Source organism: Homo sapiens, chromosome 3 (genome assembly GCF_000001405.40).
Source record: "Homo sapiens chromosome 3, GRCh38.p14 Primary Assembly".
In the NCBI taxonomy this organism is placed as follows: Eukaryota; Metazoa; Chordata; class Mammalia; order Primates; family Hominidae; genus Homo; species Homo sapiens.
The window spans coordinates 197133157-197157466 of NC_000003.12; the positions used below are offsets into that span (position 1 = coordinate 197133157).

The 24310-nt window shown below is 36.5% G+C and overlaps 1 protein-coding gene across 45 annotated transcripts in view, besides 1 other annotated feature; it reads right to left on the minus strand.

Annotated features, from left to right (window-relative positions):
• The window catches only part of DLG1 (discs large MAGUK scaffold protein 1), a 256762-nt gene that overhangs the window by 90597 nt on the left and 141855 nt on the right, over window positions 1-24310 (minus strand). For 39 of the 45 annotated variants that reach the window (NR_158764.1, NR_158765.1, NR_158767.1 and 36 more), the window contains 5 exons: window positions 16587-16640; window positions 9562-9612; window positions 6984-7108; window positions 5066-5235; window positions 3386-3522 (listed from right to left, as the gene is read on the minus strand). Coding sequence is in view for 39 of the 45 variants with exons in the window: in NM_001290983.2 (NP_001277912.1) it covers window positions 3386-3522; window positions 5066-5235; window positions 6984-7108; window positions 9562-9612; window positions 16587-16640 (537 nt within the window). In the remaining 6 variants the exon portion in view is untranslated. The remainder of the gene's footprint in view (window positions 1-3385; window positions 3523-5065; window positions 5236-6983; window positions 7109-9561; window positions 9613-16586; window positions 16641-24310) is intronic. The other 6 variants (NM_001366203.1, NM_001366206.1, NM_001366216.1 and 3 more) reach the window with 1 other exon arrangement.
• Window positions 117-315: a silencer, noted in NCBI's record as "fragment chr3:196860144-196860342 (GRCh37/hg19 assembly coordinates)". NCBI's record gives its function as "represses an EF-1alpha promoter that drives an FKBP-Casp9 reporter gene in an ReSE screen in K562 erythroleukemia cells {active_cell/tissue: K562}" and the evidence as "EXISTENCE:reporter gene assay evidence [ECO:0000049][PMID:32094911]".

Consider the following 24310-nt stretch of genomic DNA (forward strand, 5'->3'; position numbering starts at 1 on the left):
TTTAGCCAATGAGGTACAGTAGTTGTGAAGGAAAGAGAAGATTGATAAAAACAATGTACCAGTGCTTGTCTTCTTTGGAAAGCTTACTTTTGGAACCTAGCCACCATCCTGTGTGAAACTCACCCTAACCACGCAAAGAGACCACTGGATAATTAAGCACCTGGCTAACAGTCCCAGCTGAGTTCCCAGCTAAGAGCCAACTTGCCCACCATATGTGTCAGCCAACCTAACAGTGGATTTTGTGGCCTAGTACAGCAAAGACAAGTTGTTCCTGCCAAGCCCTATCCAATCTGCAGAATTGTAAACAAATACATGAGTGGTGTTTTTTAGCCATTAATCTCTGTGTTTTCTCACATATCACTAGATACCTGACACAAGAGCTGACACAATTTGCTGAGGGATTTAATGTGAAATGTGTAAGATGATGATCCCAAAGTTTTACGCCAGAGAAAAGTTATTTGACCATCTACCAGAGTCGTCTTCTACACATTAAGAAACAGTGACCTTGGGAGTGAATAGTAAAAAGGAGAAAATGGACAAGGAGTGAGTTCTGGATTACTTCAATGTTTAGAGGTTACAGATATGAGGAGGCACCAGACATCAGAAAGACAGAATGAAGAGTGGCTACTAAGAAGAGAAATACCAAGATAAAGGGTGACTATTAGGCAAATGAAAAAGTGTTAGAAGGAGGAAGGTGTGTCAAACTCCAGCCAGATAAGTCAATTAAGATGAGGACTGAGAATTGAATGATTCCAGTGTAATTAAGAGAACAAAAGCCTCACTAAAAGTTGATTTAAGAGAGAGACTTGCCACAATGGTATCAGCACAGGTTGCTGTCTCCTACCACCAAAGCCAGTTCTAGAGAAACCATAAAGGAAAACATGGTAGCCAAGAAATTAAAAAGTAAAACTGAGAAAACTAGTGCAACAGAAGGCTGTCTTGACTGTGTTTGTGTGTGAGTGATGAGTGATGGTGAGATGGTACTGGTTATAGTTTGAGGAAAGAGTGGTGATCTTAGCTGTGAAAGGATAAGTTAGAGAAACATAGTTCAAGTTCTGCTCTTTCCTTTTCGCCATCATTAACTAAAAAAAGTCTCCTTGCAACAATAAACAGTACTAAACAGGATGTAGAACAAAGGAATCTTTTATATATTGCTGATGTAAATTTTTACAAGCAGCCTGGAAAACAACAGGATGGTTTTTAAAAAGAATGCTACTAGTAGGATAATCAATAATCCCATGACAGTCAAGTAAAATTCTTGTACATGTTCACCAGAACACACAGCAGCTCTTCCCAGGAAAATTATTCATAATACCAAAAAAAAAAAAAAAAAAAAAAGACTTAAAATAGATTTTTAAAAACCAGTACTTGCTAGTATATTTTTAAAAACCAACTTCCTACTATGCCAGATCCAGTTTATGTGCCTTTTCAGATTCTGCTAGGCCTTGGCTGCTTGCTCAGTGGAGAGTCCTGACTATTATACTACTTTCATCTTGTCTCCTGCCCTTCCCAGTTTTCTGAGCCTCTTCTGGCTGGGACTGGGCATGGCTGATGTGTTCCACACAGTGAGGGCCATAACATGTCACAAACCTATGTTTGACCTGTCATACCACTGCAACTCTACCATTTTTGGGCTTGGGTGAAGTGTTGTGCCATGGAGTATAGGAGCTGGCTTCCCTAGAAACTGCGCCCAGGGGAGTTGGGTAACACAATCCAAAAGCTTGGGACAAATAACCCCTAGGGGGTAGACAAGAGACAGGAGAATAAAAGGGCCAGCAGATAAACCTTTCTTTCTTTTCTCTGGATGGCTGGATGTAAGGTTTATGATGCCCGGATGGTTTTTACAGTGTCTGCCTAGAAGACTGTTATACATGACAAGCAACAAGCTACCTTATAAAATTACAGCCAGCTCAGACACATTCTACCTTCTATTGGCTCTCGTTCATTCTCTGCTTCACTCCTCATTTTTACTCACTCTAGCCTTCTTGAGATCACACAGCCAAATAATACCTTAGCACTTTAGCTTTTCTTCAGATTCCGTTTCCCTAAGGAACATGGACTGAGACAGTTATTGATTGATATGGTATGGCTCTGTGTCCCCACCCAAATGTCATCCTGAATTGTAATCCCCATGTGTTGGGGGAGGGACCTTGTAGGAGGTGATTAGATCACGGAGGTGGCTCCCCATGATGTTCTCTTGATAGTGAGTGAGTCTCATGAGATGTGATTGTTTTATAAGCATCTGGCATTTCCACTGCTGGCACGTCTCTCTCCTGCTGGCATGTGAAGAAGGGCGTGTTTGCTTTCCCCCACCCTCCACCATGACTGTAAGTTTCCTGAGTCTGGTGAGTCAATTAAACCGCTTTCCTTTATAAATTACCCAGTCTCGGGTAATTCTTCATAGCAGTGTGAAAACAAACTAATACACTGATGAAGACTGGACAAATAAATTGCAGTACAGACATACAGTGGAATAGTATGTAGAGATAAAATGAATGAACTTTAGCTCTAAGCAATGATATGGGTAAGTCTCAGTAAAGCAATATTGAGTGAAAAAAATACTGGAGATGAAAGTCTCATACAGTGCAATAGTGTTTTGAAAAAGCTTCAAAACAAATAATACTAAACAAAATTATTTAGGCATATGTATATAATTAAACTTTTTTTTTTTTTGAGATGGGCTTTCACTCTGTCACCCAGACTGCAGTGCAGTGGGACAATCACAGCTCACTGTAACCTCAACCTCCTGGGCTCAGGTGATCTTCTCACCTCAGCCTCCCAAGGAGCTGGGACTATAGGTGTATATCACCAGGTCTGGTTAATTTCTGTATTTTTTGTAGAGACAGGGTTTTGCCATGCTGCCCAGGCTGGTCTTAAACTCCTGGGCTCAAGCAATCTACCTACCTCAGCCTCCCAAAGTGCTAAGATTACAGACAGGTGTGAGCCACCACACCCGGCCTGATTAAACAATTTTTAAGAAGCAAAGGAATAAGAAACACAAAATGGTTGATGTTCTAATTCTTGGGCTGGGTAATTACTAGGTTTCATTATACTATTAAGTGAAGTAAAATAAAAAAGGGTCATGCATAAACAAATGATGACATTGTTTTATAAACCTAAGGATTATGATGAAACACTCTGTGCATACAAGCCCTCAACAACAACAAAGGAATAAAAGGAAAAGGGAGGAGGAGCTAGCAGAGAAAAGAGAAATGACAAATAAAGAATTACCAAGAATCATTTTTTAGGATTTGATACAGCAAGGCTAGTATTTGCTAATTTAAACATCATTTAGACCTTTTTGGTATGGAGAAATTCCAGTATCTATCAGAAAAATAAACAGACTACAAAATGATTTAAAAGACAATAGATTTCTTATACTTACTGCTAAAAGTTTATCTCCAATCTGAAGTTTGCCATCCTTATGTGCTGCACCTCCTTCAATTATTTTGGTTACATAGATGCTATTATCCCCAGGAATATGCTGATTTCCAACACCTCCAGCAATGCTAAACCCAAGACCTGTTTGGAAAACAGTTCTAGATTCTCATCCATAAATATGAACTTAAGCCCAGAAAGAAATGGTTGAAAACTACAAGGTAATTATTCCCTCACACTAATATTTTTTAAAATAGAAAAGAATCTATTTAGTTATCTACTAGTATATGTTCTGCAATCAAGGGACACTTAGACATACAGCTGCTCCTAGAGTTACGAATAGATTCCTTTTATCCCACATGTTCCTTCTTAGTATCTTTTCGCAAATGCACTTGTTATTCCAAAGTGACATTGCGAAATTATGTTTTACTTTTGTTTCCATCATAATTATGCTTACCTACACTTTTAATATTTTCACAAGAACAAAATTATTGAGAAGAAATAACAACATTGTCTGGTGATGGTGGGCAGAACCAACAGGCTTTAAAAATGTGAATACCTTTGTTCTTCTTCAATATTCTATGAATTAACAATTTTAAGTAAGGAATTTCTGTAATTCCTAAATCCCATAGCTTCAATATCAGATAATTTCTCAGCTCTCCATTCCTTTTTCATTTGTTGACATCCTCCCTCTTCCATGAAGCCACATATTGAAACTACTATTTCCATTTATCCTCAAGCCATCAATGTTTTAAAAATTCAGCAATCACATCTTAACAGTCCTTTACTGCAGATGTAACTGCTCATAATACATATTATAAACACTTCTTCTTTTAACTTAGCCTGTGTACCTGCATTTAAAGTATTTTGTAGATTATCACAAGTTAATAGCAATACTAAACTTCAAAGTGTTCAAGGACACAAATATTTCACTCTTTTAATGCTAGAAGTCTTCAATATAAGAATACTTAATACAAATAGGGACATATCCACTTATAAAACAAATAGATATTTTGTTCCCTACTTTTAAAAACTCTTAAAAACATGCTGAGCAAATATTGAATATAAAAATCATAAAAAACTTATAAATTTATATATATGCTCACTGCAGTAAAATGTATAAAAGCATACATCAATAAACGTAAGAATTTTGGGCCAGGTGCAGTGGCTCACACTTGTAATACCAGCACTCTGCGGGGCTGAGGTGGGAGAACTGCTTGAGCCCAGGAGTTTGAGACCAGCCTAGGCAATGCAGGGAGGCCTCCGTCTCTACAAAAAATAAAAAAAATCAGCCCAGTGTGGTGGTGTGTGCATGCAGTCCAAGCTACTTGGGAGGGTGAGGTGGGAGGATCGCTTGAGCTCAGGAGGCTGAGGCTGCAGTAAGCCATGACTGCACCACTGGACTCCAGCCAGGGTGACAGGGCAAAACCCTGCCTCAAAAAAACAAACAAAAAAACCCCGCAAAAAAAGGAACTTTTCAAATGCTGCAATCTTGGTAGAAATGTAAATATTCTAAAATGCTACGTAAGACAAAAATCAGTAGAAATAACGGAGAAATTAAAATCCACTCAAGTTCTGTAGAATATTACTAATACTGTACTTGGAATGTATGTCACAGATAAAGTTCATAGGTATATTTAACTCAGAGATTTCTTAAAGATTTATCTTAGTTTGACTTACCACATACCTTTAGGACCTTTAATGAGCTTTATTTCCATTATTTTTTCTGACACTGGTTTCCTTCTTTTTACATACAAGCGTACAATAGACCCTGCTTCTTTCAACGCTTCAACTGCTTTGCTATGTGTTACATCACGAACATCTACTTCATTTACTCGTAATATACAGTCATTGACCCTGAGAAAACAATTAAATATTAAAAATAAAAATTAAATATAATTTAAATATAAATTTTCCACTTTACCAATTTTTTGTTACTTCTTTTTTAAGGTAAAGAGAATTATAAATAATTCTGGAGTAATTCCAGAAAACATAAATGAAGAAAGTATATCAAAAACTAATATAAACAAATACAAACATTTCCCAAGGGCCAGCAAAAGGAACAAAAGAAATAGTGAAAATAATAGATTATATAAAAATGTTAAATAATAATTACAGCTACCATTTGCATACTTCCTGCATGCTTATTCTGTGTAGGCATTAAGACACACTTTATAAAAATAGCAAACATTTATTTAGCACTAACCACATGCCAGGCACTTTCTTGGTATTTTAACCCTCATGACACCTGTAAGCTTAATATATATTTTAATCCCTATTTCACAGATGGAGAAACTGAGGCACAAAGAATGTAAATAACTTTCCTAAGGCCACCCAGATAATAAGTGACAGAGCTGTGATTCAAAGATAAGAAAACTGAGGCTCACATCACGAGTTTAAGGTCACAGAGATAGTGTGAAAACTGAGATAAAGTAAAAATAATTTTCTGAGTGCCTATTCCAACCTATATATTAGACATAAAACAATTAAGTTATTTTTTGAAATTTATATAAAGATTAGGTCACTTAATTCAAAGGTTTCGTAGGTAAAGAACTTATAATTTGCCATGGTGTTATGTTTTTTAAAAGTCTGATTTGTTCCTAGTCTTAGCCTTTTCCCTAGTTCTGGTCTCTTTGATTGCATGGTATTCCACCAGGAAAAAAAGATGGTCATCTCAAATTGGGTAGAGAGGGTAAACAAAACATAATTAAAATATTAAAACTGGTCCTGACAAGCTTCTATATCTAACAGAATCAGGAAGTAAATGTCTACATTTACATGAATGGTCAAATGATTAATTTTTATATCTATTTGATTTCATTAATATACCACCTGTCATACCCAGTGAGAATTATAAAGCTTAGAAATTCAAAAACTGCGTAAGGCATCAACGTCCTTAAAATAAGATGCTGTTTTTAACAGACTACATAAACTCTTTAGTCCTAAAACTTCAGGGTATTTGAACAACAAACAAGGAAATAGGAAAAATGACATAATTTATGACCCTCAAAAAATCAAAGTTTGCAAAATATATCTTCCAAAATGGAACACTAAATTTAAACAGAGACAAATGTTATTTTCATCTAGTCAATAAGAAAATATATTATTTAAAGTTTGCATATAGTCTTTGTGGTGTGGGATTCAACATGGATGTGTGATCCTCTATCCTCCGTATCTTAAATAAGTTTATATACATGTTTCCCAGCCAGAGAGGAAATGGAAAATATTCTGTGAGTGTACTTAAATAAGTTTATACACATGTTTCCCAGCCAGAGAGGAAATGGAAAATATTCTGTGAGTGTATCTGAAAACACAAAGGGAAACTCATGATTTCTATAAATATGCTCACAAAGATTTAAACCATCAACCAAATTTGTTATTCAAAATGTTATAATATCTAAGATAAAACTGGAGTCTAAATGAAAACAGGAACACAATGCTTAGAGCATAATTATCTCATTCATTGACTTGAATGTTGTTAAAGCATCTACCCTATGCTAGTTATCATGATCGTGTTTGTTATTTGTATTTATCCCTTATCCAGTCTGCTTCAAGAAAAATACACAAAGTGGATTCAGCATCACAATAAAAAGCGCAAAACATACCGCAATCTTCCATCTTGGGCGGCTGCTCCCCCTGTGATAATTTTGGTAATGAAAATACTTGAGTCATCTCCAATGTGTGGGTTGTCCGTACCTCCTGCAATGCTGAAACCAAGCCCTGAATTTCCCTGAGGATAGAAGAAAAAAAATTGAGACTGAATATGATTTATCTTTATGGACAGGTTCCTGTCATTAAAGGACGCAGAAACTGTACTAACATAAGGAACACAACAAATAAAGGTATATGGGTGAGTAATATAAAGATTCTAAATTAAATGGACTTGTTCTGGAGGAAAGTCCTTTCAGAGGCATTACTGCTGAACAGGTGAGGTTCAAGAAAATACACCAAGGACTTTTGAAGTATACTCCACAGTTCTTTCTTTAAAAGTATGTGCAACTTGTCGTTGGATTAGTCACCCATCTGCAGAGGTGTCACTGTAAGTCTGTTTCTTTTAGACTGCACCTCAGCCATGTTTGGTAGGGCACATCTCTCCTAAGAGACAAATGCTGAAGTGATCTTCCCGCTGTTATTTCTGAGTAGGCAAAACCCATATACTGTTTTAGCCTTTAAAAAAGGGGGTGGCGATGGTGCTTTTCTTCTGCTAACTTGACATCAGCTTATTTTTAAATGACCAAATTGTGGCTGCTAAGTGATAGCTGCCATCAGTCCCTGACATGTTTAACCAATATACCCGATTAGCAAAAGGCATTGTTTCACACTGACTGAAAGACCAACCTGAGAACTTAACATTGGTGAATTTTCTTGACAGCAAAGTAAATTTTGCCAAAGCAGCTCTACTTTTTGCTTGTTTTATGAACTGGAGAAACAAGATTTCTGAATATGTTCTTCACAGAAAGGGTTCGACTGCTACAAAAAGCCTTTAAAAATAATTGATTTAACCAATGGTATTAAAAAATGTTTATTTCTTGAAGAATGTTCTAACTGAATTTCAGGCAACTCAAGTAAGCAAATATATGTGGACCTATCATTTAACTGTTAGTATTAAACAGTGTAAACACCCACTCTACCACCATTTGTCTTAAAATTCTATTTTAATAAAAAAATGTTTTTCAATCTAACTTCATGAATTACCTGAATCTTAAGAACAGTACCAGTGGATTATGGGAGGTTACCAAATTACTTAGGTACTCAAGTTCTTCAACCAGTGAAAAATACAATGTATAGTCCTAACTAAACAAAAGGAATTTAAAAGGCCCTGGGAAAAGATAAAAAATCAATAATATAAAAAGTTAGGAGACATCACAAACTACTATATTAAAGTATGTACAGTACATTAATACTGTGCTTACTTGAATATTACTCCAGTAGCCACCCAACTTGAGCAAGTGATCCGAATTTAAGTAGATGGCAATAAAGATATACATGTAAGAGACTCTCTCAGATTTATTTTTCTCAGATTCTATTCCAATATAAATAAATCTAATTATCTAGGATTTCAGTCTTGAGTATACACACATTTAGTTACTTAAGAAATCTGCTTGTGTGAAACACTAGATTTCCATAAAATGCTAGCCAGATAAGGTGGCATTACTATTATAACATACAATAAAAACTGAATGCAGATATTCTTTTTTCTTTTTTTTAGACAGAGTCTCACTCTGTCACCCAGGCTAGAGTGCGATCTCGGCTCACTGCAACCTCTGACTCCTGGGTTCAAGTGATTCTCCTGATTCGAGTAGCTGGGATTACAGGTCTGCGTTACCACACCTGGCTAATTTTTGTATTTTTAGTAGAGACGGAGTTTTGCCATGTTGGCCAGGCTGGTCTTGAACTTCTGGCCTCAAGTGATTCACCCGCCTCGGCCTCCCAAAGTGCTGGGATTACAGGCGTGAGTGCAGATATTCTTGAGGGAAAAACATATCTTAAGAAAATTTGCACATCTGAATTGCACCTTCAAGTCATTTTCTGATTGGGCAAGTATACCATAATTAGTTTTTAATACAGCTCTGTCTGTTAGAAGTATGGTTATTTTGCTAGAAAAGAAAATTGATATAATGACCATGTTACTAGTATACTACTTACTTAATACGAACAATACTTCATTATCATATGCATATAAACAATATAAACAAAATTAAAAAGCAAGAAAAATCTGAGAAACTATCACAATCTAGAGGGGTCTAAGGCGGCAGGATAACTAAACGTAATGTAGTTTCCTGGATGGGCCTCTGAGAGAGAATAACATAAAAAGTAAGGAAATAGAGACTTCAGTTAATAATAATGTATGAATACAGGTGTCTTAGTTGAAATAAATGTACTCTAGTAATAGAAGATGTTAACAATAGAGGAGGCTGAATCCAGAGTAAATGGAAACTCTTGGGACTATCTTTACAACTTCTTTGTAAATCTAAAACTATTGTAAAATAAAAAGTTTATTAAAAAAATAAGGTTACTAAAGAAAAGGCAAATGTTTTGAAAATACCTTGGCCAATTTTATGAACTGGGAACTTAGAAAATATCATATAGTTCTGTTTTTGAGAGATCTCCCTTGGATTCTGTATGAAAAAGCAGTATATTACAAAGTTCTCTAGAACAACAGATTAAGATAATAGTTTTTACCCTTTCAAGTGTGATTTCTTCATATTCATAATCTGCATCTGTGCCATTAACCTACAGGGGAAAAGAAAAGCAGCTCAGAAACTTCAGAGTGTAAAATCCAAAATGGCAAGGCAAAATTTTTGTATGATTTATTAATGAAAACCTGTTGAATGCGACAGTAATCAAACACAATAGCTTCATTTTAATAATTCTGGGGAAGATTTTCAAGGAATGGAAAAATACAAATGTGATTAATGAGTTGACAACATTCGTGGTATCATGACTTTCAAATCCAGGATAGGTACATTCAGCTTTTAATAGTTTCAACCTCCGATCCTTCTCTGTCTTGATCCACACATCTAATCAGTTACCAACTGTTTCTGATTTGAACACCTTAATTTTTTGGAAAATCATCACCTCTTCACTCTCATTTCTAATACCTTTGTTCAGGCCTTGTTCAACCTCCTCTGGAATGGAATACTGTCAATGCAGTCTGCCTAATCGCTTAGATTAGTATTCCCCACTGCCCAAATCACTGTTTTAAACAGCTGGATCTTTTTTGTTTTGTTTTTTTGAGATGGAGTCTCGCTCTGTTGCCCAGGCTGGAGTGCAGTGGTGGCGTGATCTTGGTTCACTACAAGCTCCGCCTCCCGGGTTCACACCATTCTCCTGCCTCAGCCTCCCGAGTAGCTGGGACTACAGGTGCCTGCCCACCACGCCCGGCTAATTTTTTGTATTTTTAGTAGAGATGGGGTTTCACCGTGTTAGCCAGGATGGTCTCGATCTTCTGACCTCGTGATCCACCCGCCTCGGCCTCCCAAAGTGCTGGGATTACAGGCGTGAGCCACCGTGCCTGGCAACAGCTGGATCTTTTTAAAGCCCATAACATACTTCCTCTAAAACTTTCACAACTCTCCCTTCCTAGAAATATCCAAACTCTATGGGTTGGTAATCATGTCTTCGAATGAACTGACCCCAATGTACTACTTCCCTTCATTCTTCACCTCTTCATAGGCCTTACATACCAACCCTTTCTGTGAACGACTTGCTCTTTCCATTACATATCCTGCAATTTTCCACTTCGACATCTGGAATTTTGTGCCTCCTCGGTCACAAATTTCACTTACATGTTTTATGTCAAAATCAGTCACCATTCAAGATATCTTGGTCACAATTTATCTCCCTCCAATTTATTTCCTAGTCTCTCCTGAAAGAAGTTAACTCCTACAGTAAAGGCCACTGGTGAAACAAGTCCCTGGAATCAGATGAACATGGGTTTGAATCCTTCCTTTAAAATTTCTCGTGATATGAGGCTGGGCAAAACTCTATCTAAATCAAATGTGGACTGTGATAAATTCTACTTCTGAAGATGGCTCACATCTTCCATTCCAGACATTCTTTTGCAATATAACTAAATCACCCTACCATCAAAAGGAGTCTCTTTCCTCTTCAATTAGATCTAGGCAAGCCCTGTGACTAGCTTTGACTAAAATAAATGTGGCACAAATGATGCTGTGTGATTTCTGAGACTAGGTCATCTGATGCCTGATAGTATTATTTGCCTTTGCTTGGAATATATTTTCTTTAGAACCCAGCAGCTATAACATGAGTAAAACTCAAACAGCCTACAGAGAGATCTAACCAACAGAGAACCAAAACCCTTGGCCAAAAGCCCCAGCTACACTCCTAACCAGCAGTCAGCACCACCAACTATCAGCCACGTGAATAAGGCTATTTGGACCTCCCAACCTTGTCAAGTGCCCTAACCCACACCATGTAAAGCAGAGCCATCCAATTCATTATGAGAAAAAATGAACTGTTGTTCTTTTAAGCCCCTAAGCTTCAGGGTAGTTTGTTATGCAATGATAGATAACTGCAAGAGAAATAACAAAACCTACATAAGCTACTTTGCTTTCTTAACCATACTATAAAATGTAGCCCTTAATTCAGGTCTAATATAGGGACCAGGAGTTTCTTCCTTGAGAACTTTTGAAGCCCATCTCTACTACCCTTTTGGGTTCTTAACTCTTGTGATTCTCCTAGATTCAAACCCTATTACTATTTTGTTCCCTCTTCTTTCTCATCTATAGACATTTTCCTCTTAGAGATTATATGTTATAAAGGCATTTATATAGAGAGAGTTGGGATTTCACTCTGTTACCCAGGCTGGAATGCAGTGGCATAATCATAGCTCGTTGCAGCCTCAAACTCCTGGACTCAAGTGATCCTCCTGCCTTAGCCTCTTGAGTAGCTGAGACTACAGGCACATGCCACCATGCCTGGCTGTTTACTTTTGTTTTTCATAGAGATGGGGTCTATGTTGACCAGGAGCTCGCTTGCTTGCTCTCTCTCTCTCTCTCACACACACACACACACACACACACGTAAAATCTCTTTATCTCAGTTTAGGAGGAGTAACTTCAAGAGCTGTGTTGATCATGTCTGTGCATCTAGAGTACGGGAGGCTTACCTACTTGACAGGAAGTCCTTTGTTACGAGTAAAATTTTTATTTGCAGCAATATCCCCTTTCTTATTCTAAAGGTTATTTGCATCATCTTGTTTCTTACTCAAGACTTGCTAAAAGTCTATCAGTCTTTATCGAATAAGCAGTTTTGACATTATTGATGAATCTATTACATTTCATGGTATTACTTTCTGTTTTTAACAGTTCTTTAGTCCTTTGATTTTCTAAAAAAGATTTTTGAGTTGAATGCTCAATTTATGCTTACTCTATTCTATTTTTAGAAACCTCAAAATTTACCAATTTTCCTTGGCATATGGATTAGGCCAAATCCCACAACTGCTAGCTGCACTGAGCTCCATTTTTGTTCATTTGTTTATTTCTAAATAATCTAAAATTTTATTTTCGAAAACATTTCCAAATGAGTGTGCTTATATGGCCCTTTTGGCATTAACGTAAAATTTTGATACTGTGACCTTATGATTTCTGCCTTAAGGAATCTGAGATTTTTCACCTTTAAGTTTCCTCACAAGGTAGGTGCTCAGTAAATATTCCTGGTGCTTAATTTAATGCCAATTCATGATGTAGGTTTCTAAGCAGCACATAAAAGGGGCTTTTTAGGTAGCACTGAGTACTTTACTAAAAATACAAAAATTAGCCAGGTGTGGTGGTGCACGTCTTTAATCCCAGCTACTCAGGGCGGGGGCCAAGGGGTGGGGTAGGGTGGGGGCTGAGACAGGAGAAGCACTTGAACCCAGGAGGCGGAGGTTGCAGTGAGCTGAGATTGTGCTACTGTACTCCAACCTGGGCAACAAACAGAGTGAGACACTGTCTCAAATAAATAAATAAATAAATAAATAAAATAAAATAAAATAAAAAGAACTCGACCCTTTTTACAATAGCTAAAGGAAAATAAAATACTTAAGAATATACTTAACCAAGGAGGTGAAAGACCTCTACAAAGAAAACTACAAAACACTGCTGAAAGAAATCACAGATGACACAAACAAAAACACATCCCAAGCTCATGGACAGGTAGAATCAATACTGTGAAAATGACTATACTGCCAAAAGCAATCTACAAATTCAATGCAATTCCCACCAAAATACCACCATCATTCTTCACAGAACTAGAGAAAACATTCCTAAAATTCATATGGAACCAAAAAAGAGCCTCCACAGACAAAGCCAAACTAAGCAAAAGGAACAAATCTGGAGGCATCACATTACCTGACTCCAAACTATACTATGAGGCCATAGTCATCAAAACAGCATGGTACTGGTATAAAAATGGACACACAGAATGAAGCAGAATAGAAAACCCAGAAATAAAGCCAAATACTTACAGCCACCTGATCTTTGACAAAGCAAACAAAAACATAAAGTGGGGAAAGGACACCCTATTTGACAAATGGTGCTGGGATAATTGGCTAGCCACATGTAGAAAATGAAACTGGATCCTCATCTCTCACCTTATAAAAACATCAACTCAAAATGGATCAAAAACTTAAATCTAAGACCTGAAACCATTAAAATTTTAGAAGATAACATCAGAAAACCCTTCTAAACATTGGCTTAGGCAAAGACTTCATGACCAAGAACCCAAAAGCAAATCCAACAAAAACAAAGATATGCAGATGGGATTTAATTAAACTAAGAAGCTTCTGCACAACAAAATAATCAGCAGAGTTAACAGGCAACCTACAGAGTGGGAGAAAATCTTCACAATCTATACTTCTGACAAAGGACTAATATCCAGAATCTACAAGGAACTCAAACAAACAAATCAGCAAGAAAAAAACAATCTCATCCAAAAGTGGGCTAAGGACATGAATAGAAAATTCTCAAAGGAAGATACGCAAATGGCTGACAAGCATATGGAAAAGTGCTCAACATCACTATCGGGAAAATGAAAATCAAAACCACAATGTGATATTACCTTACCCCTGCAAGAATGGTCATCATAAAAAAATAAAAAAAAATAGATGTTGGCGTGGATGCAGTGAAAAGGAACACTTTTACACTGTTGATGGGAATGTAAACTAGTACAACCACTATGGAAAACAGTACAGAGAGTCCTTAAAGAACTAAAAGGAGATCTACCGTTTGATCCAGCAATTCTACTACTAGGTATCTACACAGAGGAAAATAAGTCATTATATGAAAAAGATACTTGCACATGCATGTTTATAGCAGCGCAATTCACAATTGCAAAAATATGGAACCAGCCCAAATACCCATTTTTCCATGAGTGGATAAAAAATATATGGTGTGCACACACACACACACACACACACACACACACACACACACCATGGAATACTACTCAGCCATAAAAAGGAATGAAATAATGGCATTTGCAGCAACCTGAATGGAACTGGAGATTATTATTCTAAGTGAAGTAACTCAGGAATGGAAAACCAAACACAGTATGTTCTCACTCATAAGTGGGAGCTAAGCTATGAGGATGCAAAGGCATGAGAATGATACATTGGCATTTGGGGACTCGGGAAAGCGTGGGACTGGGGTGAGGGATAAAAGACTACATACTGGGTACAGTATACACTGCTCAGATGATGGGTGCACCAAAATCTCAGAAATCACCACTAACTTATTCATGTAACCAAACAACACCCGCTCCCTAAAAACTTACTGAAATTAAAAAAAAAATCCAAAAAACAAAAAATAAAATCCTGAAGTTTCCCATCCTTTAAAATTAAAAAAAAAAAAGAAATAAAAGGCATCCAGAGGTAAACTATCTCTATTTGCCAGTGACATGATCTTGTATATAGAAAATTCAAACTACATAACTACCAGAGGTAATAAATGAGTTCAGCAAGGTTGTAGGATAAAAGATAAACACCTAAAAGTCAATTATATTCCCATATGCTAGCAATAAAAACTCCAAAAATAAACAAAACAATTCCATTTATAACAGCATCGTAAGAATAAAATACTGGCTGGGCATGATGGCTCACCCCTGAAATCCCAGCACTTTGGGAGGCTGAGGCGGGCTGGATGACTTGAGCTCAGGAGTTCAAGATCAACCTAGGCAACATGGTAAAACCCCATCTCTACCAAAAATACAAAAAAAAAAAAAAAATAGCCAGTCATGGTGGCACGTGTCCGTGTTCCCAACTACATGGGAGGCTGAGGTGGGAGGATCATCTTGGGTCTGGGAGGTGGAGGTTGCAGTGAGCTGAGATTGTGCCAATGCACTCCAGCCTGGGTGACAGAGTGAAACTGTCTCAAGAAAAAAAAAAAAAAAAAAAAAGAGAGAGAATACATAGAAGTGAATTTAACAAAAGAACTCCAAGACTTGTACACAGAAAACTAAAGAACATTATTGAAAGGAATTAAAGAAATATACCCATATATTTACAGTTAACTGATTTTCTATATGGTTGCCAAGACCATTCAATGCGGAAAGAATAGTCTTTTCAACAAACAGTGATGCTATCCACATACAAAAGAATGAAGTTGGACCTCTACTTCACATTATACAAAAATCAACTCAAAATGAATCAAAGACCAAAATCTAAAAGCAAAACCATAAAACTCTTAGAAGAAAACTTAACTCTAAGTCTTTGTGATGTTGGATTATGCAATGGCTTCTTACATACAATACAAAAAGTTACAAAAGAAAAAATATAAAAATAATGGTTTTTAGACTCAATCATTATCACGAAATTGCGGCATTTTCTAAAGTTTTATCCACTTAAACTTCAACAAAAATGTAGCAGTATATTTTTACCCCATACTGTCACCAGCAGAATGTACTGACAAACTTTTTGCTCTTTTGATAACATAATGTTTAAGATGTATTAATTGTTTTAATTTGCATTTATGTTATTAACTCACCTTTTTCTACTTTTTTACCTTAACAAATTATGTTGAGATATTCACATATCATAAAATCTACCTTTTTAAAGTATGCAATTCAGTAGTTTCTAGTTTATTCACAGAGTTGTGCCATCATCATTACTTTCTAATTCCAGAACATCCTTATTACCCCATAAACAAACCCTGTACCTATTAGCAGTCACTCCCCATTCTGCCCTACACCCACCACCTGGCAACTGCTAATCTACTTTCAGTAACTATGGATTTATCTATTCTGGAACTTTCATATAATAAAATTATGCAACAAGTGGACTTTTGTCCCTGATCAATTTAAAATTACAAAGTTATAACTAATTATTTTCGTATATATGAATGCACAAAAAAAACCTGGTTACTAAAAATCTAGTCATTCAATTAGACTTCTAAAATGATTTAAATATATGGCACTGTGTAAGCAACCAATGGTCAGAGACAACCTTTTGTGAAAGTTAGCCATCATAATTTCTGAATTAAATTACGAATTTCTATTTCAAAATTTCTGCTTTACAAAAGGAAAAAAAAATGACCAAAGGAGGACCATACTACTTAATTTACTATAGCAATTACAGCTATAGTATATAGTGATAGAACATCTTAAGAGAAATGTATTAGAGAAAACAATGCCATGGTCTTCGCATTTGTATCAAAAAACGGAACAGGAAAGGCAGAATTACTTCAATGTGGGGAGGAAATGGAACTTACGTAAGTTGGTGTTTCCAAGCTATCTGTGTTGACCAGTACTGGGGGAGGATTTGCCTTTAAGAAGAAATTGTAAATGTGTTAACAAGAAAATAAAACATTACATGTTCATGTTCACAATGTTAGAGGCATAGGAAAGACTTGCTATTTCTTAAGTTATAATCTTATATGAGCTTTTTATATGTTAAATAATATATCCTTTCTCCAGCACCAAACAGAAAAAATTATGTATAAGCAGTTAAAACAGATTTGCTTTTAAGAAATAAATTGCTATTTCTGCTAAAGCAGCCATGATTTTCTTAAGTTTTACACAGATCACCATAGCCTTCTCATAAAACCCATGAATATTCTTTAGTGTAACCAATAACTCTTCCTAGGTTGCTTAGAAATCATTGTTTTCTCTTCCCAAAGATACAGTAAAGATTTCAATCATTTCATCACCCAGGAGAAAATTCTTCCCCACAGTGAACTGTTTTTAAACAAGGAAAAAAAAAAGTTCATCACAGAAAGAAATCAATTGTAAACTTTTAGAAACTAAAAACACACTCTTAATGTAAAAACCCGATTATTTTCAGCTGCAATGACTGCTTTCCAGTTATTCTAGACCACTCACAGAATTAACAGTGATTTATTACAGCAAGAAAAATAAGCAGAATAACACACACCTAGTTAAGTTTGGATTGAAAAAAAATCTTGGTTTTCTGGTTAGGTTAGAAATTATTATGTATATGAAACTAAAGAATAAAATGCAATAACAAATGAAAAATATAATAAAAATCTGATGTAATTCCCCTCAAAATTCTTTCTTCTGCATATTTAAAGTTATGAAAGTACCAAGTCACATAACACTTTCAGAGAATAAAAAAGATGACTATCCTTTAAACAAACTTTAGAAGATATGCTTACACACATTAATGGTTCTACTTCAATTACCTGAGGAATTATACATAAAAGCTGTATAAAGTAACACTGTAACACAAAATAACCATTTTCTTCCAAATGTACAGGCTTTTAATAAAGGGGAATATTCAAACTTCAAATAACACATTATTTTCAGCACAGTACCACAGCTAAATGATATGACAAAATGCTTAAAGACAACCTAGTTTCATGGTTAAAAAATTAAACAGTATGCATTTGGGCTACATCAAGCAGTAAGTTAAAAATGAGTAGCTAATACTTCATTATATATAAAAATAAAATTAAATATAATACTTTATGTTTAGTCCCACCATTAAATAATAGTCTACCTTTGAATAATTCGGTGAAAGTCCACTCAACAAATAAAAATTGTACTTATAAAACTGCTATTTAAGCAAAGCTACCCAACTTACAGACATTTGAGATTTTATGAATATTTCAAATTACTTATTTCCCAATGGTATATTGAGATTACTCAAACTGGTATTTTACGTTGCTAAAAAAATTAATAATACAACTTCACTTTATTCTGCTTAAGCAATTACAGAAGAAAAGGGCAAGAAAGAATAGGATATTTAAAGTTACAAAAGAAATTACATTTTAAAAACACTATGGCAAGAAAGCCTTTTGGTCCCTCTGCCGATTTTTTACCAAACATGCAGTGGAAAAAGTTGGTTTTTATCAAAATCTAATTTATACCATAATTATTATGTTAGCTGTTTATCAGTACCAACTCATCATCATTTTATAGAAGTTACCTTTTGATTCTATTCATTTAGAAAGTCTCGCTAATATTGAAATATATATAAACGAAATGATATAAGGTGTTATATTTACTTCAAAATAAAACAATGGAAGGTTGGGAGTAGGAGGGGTTATGAATCAAATAGAAGTACACGAGTTGATTGCTGCAGCTGGTGATGGGTATACATAGAGTTCATTGTACTATTCTTTCTACATTTGAATATTTCTGAAATTTTGCATAATAAAAAGTAAACCAAAAAATCACTTTGAGCCAAGTACTCAGTTTTAAAGAGGTTAATAGCTAAAGTAGTTGTGAAATACTCTGGGTCAGGGTTGCTATTAAGATACTGGCATTCAGCCAAGTGCAGTGGCTCATGCCTGTAATCCTAGCACTGTGGGAGGCCAAGGCTGGTGGATCACTTGAAACCAGGAGTTCAAAACCAGTCTGGCCAACATGGGTGAGCAAAATTATGTTTCTTAAGCCTTATTACCGATGCTTGGGTCAAATTATTTAGGGGCTTTTTAGTTCCTCCTTCTGGAATATCCTTGCCCTTTTACTGCCTCTACCCCCAATCTCTAAGTGAATTATAGAGCTTCACTGTTGTCCAAGTTGGAACTATACACAATGGTATATAAATTTTAGTAACAGAATAAGCATTTCTATAGCTTCCTATGATTTGCAACATATTTTCTTTTATATTACTTCTCTAGAGCCTCACACAGTCCCCCTGGGTAAAGACAGGTATTGCTATCTTTTCACAGATGGAGAAAATGAATTTTAATAATAACTGTGATTTACCTATACTCAAATGTCACTGAGTGGTAGAGGGAGGTATAGAGAGACCTAGAACCAGGTCTGAGATTACAGGGTCACTTGAACCAAGGTGCAATGAGGGCTTTTTCTTCATCTGAAATAATTTCACGTAGACTCTTTCCAAGTCTTTTAGTTGTAGTTGTTTGATTTTCCATGTTACCTGTTCTACTACTCGCTGTCTTGGTTAAGGATCCCAAAGTCTTTTTTTTTTTTTTTTTTTTTGAGATGGAGTCTTGCTCTGTCACCCAGGGTAGGACTTTTTAAAACTCAAGTTTAGGCCGGGTGCGGTGGCTCACGCCTGTAATCCCAGCACTCTGGGAGGCCAAGGCGGGTGGATCACGAGGTCAGGAGATCGAGACCATCCTGGCCCCGTCTCTACTAAAAATACAAAAAAATTAGCTGGGCTTCGTGGCAGGCGCCTGTAGTCCCAGCTACTTGGGAGGCTGAGGCAGGAGAATGGTGTGAACCCAGGAGGTGGAGCTTGCAGTGAGCCGAGACAGCACCACTGCACTCCAGCCTGGGCAACAGAGCGAGACTCTGTCTCAAAAAAAAAAAAAAAAAAAAAAAAGTCAAGTTTATTGGCTGGGCACATGGCTCACCCAAATTTTACCATTCTATTTCATCAACAAAGGATCTTGTAGTGATTGCTGCTGTAACAGACTGAAGCAGCCTTACAAAGTTTCAGAGGGCAATATTACATTTTTAAAAATCGTGTTAAAATACATTCTAAGATCCAATTATTTTAAAATAGGTCAAAATAGTTTAGAAAATCCACTTTTACAATCTGCATTGTATTTCTCCTTCTCAGCATTGATCAAAGTTTCATTATGTTATTTGTCTAGTGTTTCTTTCTCCTCTACTCAATTATGAACAAGTGCTTTACAAGTGCTTTTCCAATGCAAAACTCACAAACTCCAGAGAATTCTTCTTAGATCCTAATTTGAGACACATTGCATTCAAAGTTAAATGCTATGACTGAGGTGATCACTGCAGGTTAAAATGATTGTAAAAACAAATGGGGTGGATTCTGGAAAGAAGGTAGAGTAGGAAGCACCACAAATCTGTTTCTCCACCTTGAACACAATTTTAGTGGCAGCATGTGTCTGATGTAGATGTTTTGGAACTTGGAGTCTACTGAAGGCTGGCAACTTCCAGGTGAACTGTAGTTAATTTCAGTGACCTGCAGGCTTAGCACAGCAGCAGCTCCCCACACTCTATCCCTCAGTCAACTGTGTACCGCCTGCACAAGCCACGGTGGGCAGAGAAAATTACATTCTCCAAATACTGGAGATCTGTGCTCTGAATGCTGCTTCTCATCACAAAGGTGCAAACAGGCCCTGGATACTGCTGTTCCACCTCCTCCTCATTGTTGGAAACCCCACCCCAACCTCCCAGGCTGAACTGACTTCCAGGAGATTGAAAGAGCTGGAGGCCTCCCCTTCCTACACACCAATTCAATTTTCTTTTTCCCCTTTTGGGAGCCAGACATTGAAGACTAGGACATTAAAAACCAACCACATGTATGGAGGAAATTAGAAAGTCACTGTGCATGCCCAGGGGAAGGCATAGGCTCAGAAAATATCTAAGAAGACCCTACGTTTACACCTGAGGCTGATCTTTGATAGCCTACAACAATCAGAAAAACAATAACAACAAAAAAAGAAAACCCTGGAGAAGAAGGAGAATCTGATTTTCAGAGTTACCAAATTATTAAATTCAAGTGTGCTGTTTAAATAAACAAGAATAAGTGGCTTATTAAAAAAAATATAAATCAATATAAACTGTTCCTTAAAAAAAAATAAGGCTGGGTGTGGTGGCTTACGCCTGTAATCCTAGCACTTTGGGAGGCTGAGGCGGGCAGATCACAAGGTCAGGAGTTTGAGACCAGCCTGGCCAACATACTGAAACCCTGTCTCTACTAAAAATACAAAAAATTAGCTGGGTGTGGTGGCAGGTGCCTATAATCCCAGCTACTTGGAAGGCTGAGGCAGAAGAATCACTTGAACCTAGGAGGTGGAGGTTGCAATGAGCCGAGATGACACCACTGTACTCTAGCCTGGGCAACAGAGCAAGACTCTGTCAAAAAAAACAAAACAAAACCAAAAAACCAAAAAAACCCACAAAAACCTGATAGCAAATCTACTAGACAAAGACTTTATTAAAGAATTAAAAGATGGCCGGGCACAGTGGCTCACACCTGTAATCCCAGCACTTTGGGAGACTGAGGTGGGTGGATCACTAGGTCAGGAGATCGAGACCATCCTGGCTAACACAGTGAAACCCCGTCTCTACTAAAACTACAAAAAATTAGCCGGGCGTGGCGGCAGGTGCCTGTAGTCCCAGCTACTCGGGAGGCTGAGGCAGGAGAATGGCGTGAACCCGGGAGGCGGAGCTTGCAGTCAGCCGAGATGGCACCACTGCACTCCAGCCTGGGTGACAGAGCCAGACTCTGTCTCAAGAAAAAAAAAAGAATTAAAAGATGTGAACAAAAGCAAGAAAGTGCTGTATGAACGAAACGGAAATATCAATGAAGAGAAATAAAAATTATAAAATTCAGGAAATGAGAAGTACAATAACAGAAAATTCACTGGAGAGATTCAAAAGCATATCTGAGCAGGTAAAAAAAGTAGTGAACATGAGATAGGACAAGGGAAAGTACTGAGTCTGAAGAACAGAAATAAAAGAGATTCAAGAAAAGTGAACAGAACCTAAGGGACCCGTGAGACATCATCAAGCAGACCAACTAATGCATTGTGGGAGTTGCATGAGAAATGACAGATAAAAGAGTAGAAAAAATATTTGAATAATAGCCAAAACTTCTCAGATTTCATGAAACACATGAATATAAACATCCAAGAAGCTCAATAAACAATAATGAAATCCAACAGACTCACACTGAGACACATTATACTAGAACTGTCAAAGGCCAAAAACAAAGGGAGATTTTTGAAAGCAACAAGAGAAGTGACTTGTCACATACAACAAATCCTCAATGAGATTATCAGCAGACTTCACATCAGACACTCTGGAGGTCATATGGCAGTGGGTGGAAATACTCACTGCTAAAATAAGACGAAAAAAACCCAAACCTGTCAACTAAGAATCCTATATCCAGCAAGACAGTCCCTCAAAATTAAGGGGGAAATTAAGATGTTCTCTGATGAACAAAAGCTGAGGGAGTTTGTTATCACTAGAACTGCCCTGAAAGATGTGCTAAAGGTAGCAGTTCAGGTTGAAATGAAAGAAAACTAGACAGCAACTCAAAGTCATATGAAGAAATAAAGATCTCAGTAAAGGTAAATACATAGGTAATAATAAACACTAGTTAGTAATATTGTAACAATGGTTATGTAAATCTGCTTTTGGTTTTCCACATGATTGAAGAGACCATTACATTTTCAAATTTAAAAAAAAAAAAAACTTAGCCTAGCCAGGCATGGTGGCTCACACCTGTAATCCCAGCACTTCAGGTGGCCGAGGCAGGCAGAGATGGCTTGAGCCCAGGAGTTCAAGACCAGCCTGTGGAACATGGTGAAACCCCATCTCTACAAACAAAACAAAACAGCAACAACAACAAAAATTAACCAGGTGTGGTAGGCACATGCCTGTAGTCATGGCTATTCAGGAGACTGAGGCGGGAGAATCGATTGGGCCCAAGAGGTTGAGGCTGCAGTGAGCTGTGATGGCACCACTGCACTCCAGCCTGGGCTACAGAATGAGACCCTGCCTATAAATAAATAAATAAATAAGCCTAATATTAATAAACAAAGTCAATATTGGTAAATAACGAAAATCAATTATTAGTTTAAAAGCTAACATTATAACTTTGATTTGTAACTTCATATTTTGTCTCCTACATAATTTAAGAAACGAACGCATTAAAAATTACTAGTTTCTGTTTTTGGGCATACAATATATGAAGATGTAATTCTGTGACATCAACAACTGAAAGGGGTTGGGACAGAGCAGTTAAAGGGGCAGAGGTTTTGTATATTATTGCAGTTAAGCTTGTACAAATTGAGATTAGAAGTGTCTAGGATGTTAAATGTAATCCCCATGGTAACCACACAAAATATAACTAAAGAATAGACACAAAGGAAACAAGAAAGTTAAATGTTTCACTACAAAAAATTAATCAAAGACCAAAGAAGACAGTAATGCAGGAAATGAGGAACAAAAAAGCTACAAGGCATATATATAAAGAAAACAAATAGCAAAATGACAAAAGTAAGTCTTTCCTTACCAATAATTACTTTAAATGTAAATAAACTCTTCAATCAAAAGACAGAAATTGGCAGAATAAAAATTTTAAAATGTTCCAACCACAAGCTGTACACAAGAGACTCACTGTAGATCCAGAGACACAAATATGCTGAAACTGAAGGACAGAAAGGGGTATTTCATGCAACAGTAACCAAAGGAGAGCAGGAGTGGCTGTACTCATAACAGACAAAATAGACTTTAAATAAAAAAAAGGTTATGAGACAACAAAGGTATTATACATTAATAAAAGGTTCAATATAGGAATGTAACAATTACAAAAATTAACGCACCTAATAGCAGACCATCAAAATGTTAAGTAGCAAAAATGAGACAGAATTGAAGAAAGAAATGGTTCTACAATAATAGCTGGAGACTTCAATACCACATTCTCCATAATGGGCAGAACAACCAGACATATGATAAGTAAGGAAATAGAGGAGATGAACAAACACAATATACCAAAGAGACACAGAACTCTAACAATAACAGAACACACATTCTTCTCAAGTGCACATGGGAATAGAAGGAAACTATGTCAACCTAAGAAAAACCATATACAAAACACACACAGTGAACATCATACTCAGTGGTGAAAGACTGAAAGCTTTTCCTCTAAGATAAGGAAGAAGGCAAGTATGTCTGCTTTCACCACTTGTACTCAACATGACCACTAGCTGAATAGTTGAAGTTGTTGTCAAAGCAATTAGGCAAGAAAAAGAAATAAAAGACATCCAAATTAGAAAGGAAGAAGCAAAATTACTTGTTCACAAATGATATGATCTTATATGTAAAACACCCTAAAGATTCTACACAAAAACTGTTAGAATTATTAAACCAATTAAGCAAAGTAGCAGGATACAAAGTCAATACACAAAAATCAGTTGTATTTCTTCTAACACTGAACAATCTAAAATGGAAATTAAGAAAACAATTCTGTTTATTATAGCATCGAAAAGAACAAATTTTCAGAACACTGAGCCTCCTA